At 50.6% G+C, this 2,294-nt stretch overlaps 1 annotated feature.

The window, feature by feature from the left end:
* Positions 1,256-1,755: an enhancer, noted in NCBI's record as "H3K4me1 hESC enhancer chr20:46870479-46870978 (GRCh37/hg19 assembly coordinates)". NCBI's record gives its function as "activates a minimal SCP1, AML or CMV promoter by ChIP-STARR-seq in primed H9 embryonic stem cells {active_cell/tissue: H9 hESC(primed)}" and the evidence as "EXISTENCE:reporter gene assay evidence [ECO:0000049][PMID:30033119]".

The following is a 2,294-nucleotide window of genomic DNA, read 5'->3' as shown; positions in this document are numbered from 1 at the left end:
GATGGAGGCTGGAAAAGGGAAAAACATTGCCAAGAGTGAGTCCCAGGCATTTAATGTTGGGGCCATGCTTATGACATTTAAGGAGTGCTATGTGGCAGTCAGTGGCTCTTGTGTCTGAGGCTTAAGGATACAGTCAATCCTCAAACCCCGGAACATCAGGGGTGGAGTCGCCACTGCTCATTGCCCTGAGGGTCCACACCAGGTAGAAATCAGGTGCTTTTTAGAGAATATCCCAGACTGTTGCATTTCAAGTGTGCCCCCACCAAACTAGATTAAAAGCAAAAAAAAAATTATTTGCCATTCAGAATTTTGTTGAATGAGAACATCTCCATCTATTATATTGAAGGCCACACACTGACTTCGTGATCAGGGCCTGATCAATCACTGCTCCCCAGGCACACACGCCTCTGAGCCTCTGAGCGTGTGTAGCAAGGGATGGGAGATGAGAACAGAGGAGCAACAAAGGCTGATCATGGAGGACCAGGAGGCCTTGCAAGAGGGCTTGGATTTAATTCTAAGAACGATGAAAGGCCATTGATGCATTCTAAGTAAGTGAAGGATATGCCCTTCATGTTCTTAAAGGCCCACCCCCTGGGTGAAGAGGGTGGCCCAGGGACAAGAGTGGAAGCAGGGAGATCAGGTGGTGTTTGCAGTGGGCCAGGTGGGAGAGGCTGATGGCGCGGAGCAGACGGGGCGCTGCAGAGGGAGAGAGGTGAGTGGATTGCGGTGCTGCTTGGAAGATCGGCAGGGCTTGCTGATGGATCTCAGGTGGGCAGGTGAGGGAAGAGGAATCGGGGATGACTCCTGGATGTTGGCTGAGCTGTTGGGCAGATGGTGGTGCCATTTACAGAGATGGGAAGGCAGGTGGAGGAAGAACAGATTGGGAGAGGTGGGGAAGGGTGGATATTAAGCTGCTTTGCAGACGTTGCCCCCTAGGCCAGTGGCTGGTTTACTGGCTCTATCTGGCCAACTCCCCAAACTTGGAAACACACCTTATAGGCCATGCCTTGTTGAACAGAAAACCTGCTGCCAAGGACAAAGCGTTATTGGATCACAAGTAAAATCGTCAGGAAAGGACAGTTTCTGGGTGGAGCTTCTCAGAGAGGAGATGAGCAATGGCTTCAGAGTCCCATTGATTATACCTGTGTCCTTTGTGTCCTGCCCTTTCCCTGGGGCCTGCTGCCATCTCCCTTCCAGTGACAATGACCATATCAGAATTTTCTCCCAGAAGCTTCTACAACTACAGCCAGCAGAAGGTGGAGGAGAAAAAATTCACAGTACGATTTTTCAGTCCAATGTTCATTAATGAAATTCAATTCCCCCTCTTCGACATCTGCTTAATTGATTTTGAGTTTAGGAACCAATTTTGAGCCTTGGCTTTTTGGAGCTAAAACTAGCAATGACATTTGACTTGATTTGGTAATAACTGAGAGTCAGGAATGGTTTGCCTTGGCACTGTTGGGAGGAAGCCTCATCTGATAAGTGGGTCCTGGGAATCCAGTGTCCTCATTCTGGATTGAGTTACAGGAACACCAAGAGTTGCCACCACATCAGTGAGCACGTTACTGTGTGGAAAACAATGGATTTGCTCTGCCCAGATGTGGTTTCTGATTGCTGTTGTTTGTCCCCCAGCCCTTTCTCAAAACCCCTGCTGGGGACAGTGCTATTCTGGGGTGGGTGGTCAGGCCTGATGGGGCCCAGTCTGCTGCGGCTGGTAAGCAGGTGTGGCCATGGGCACCGTGGACAGCTCAGAAGCCGATCCCATGGACTGTGGATGTTCTAGGGACACCTGAGGCTGGGCAAGCGCTGCTGAGTGAATTCTAGCTTGGCAGGAGGACAACAGGGCAGGAGGATGGTGCAGGACACAGGTGCTTTCCTGCTTCCCCACAGGTGCTCACTGCCCCTCACCCCTGCCTTTCCACTTCATAGTCTATCCCCAGCCTCTACCTGAGACCACCTCTCACCACGCCAGACCTGCAGCCCCTCTTCTCCTATGAACACCTGCAGGCTTGTTTTGGAACTTCTCTCTGTGCCACACTCGAAAGTTCTATTTGCAGGTTTATTTATCTCATCTCTTGAGCTGGAGCCAGAGGTTGCAAACTCAGCATCTACAGGGGCTGGGAGTGGGGTTAATGTCAATTAGAGAATTGGGTGTGGAGGGGATTATGGTGGACAGGTGAGGATGTGCTCAGTCTAGAAAGCAGCCCTCACTACACACTCCCCATGTGGAAAGGGAAACAGTATGAGCAGGTCTTCCAACTCTTTGAGCATAGCCAAAAGTAAAATCTCCCAAT

This window comes from Homo sapiens, chromosome 20 (assembly GCF_000001405.40).
Source record: "Homo sapiens chromosome 20, GRCh38.p14 Primary Assembly".
Classification (NCBI taxonomy): Eukaryota; Metazoa; Chordata; class Mammalia; order Primates; family Hominidae; genus Homo; species Homo sapiens.
Note: the sequence above shows the minus strand (reverse complement) of the source record. Positions and strands in the feature narration are given on the sequence as shown.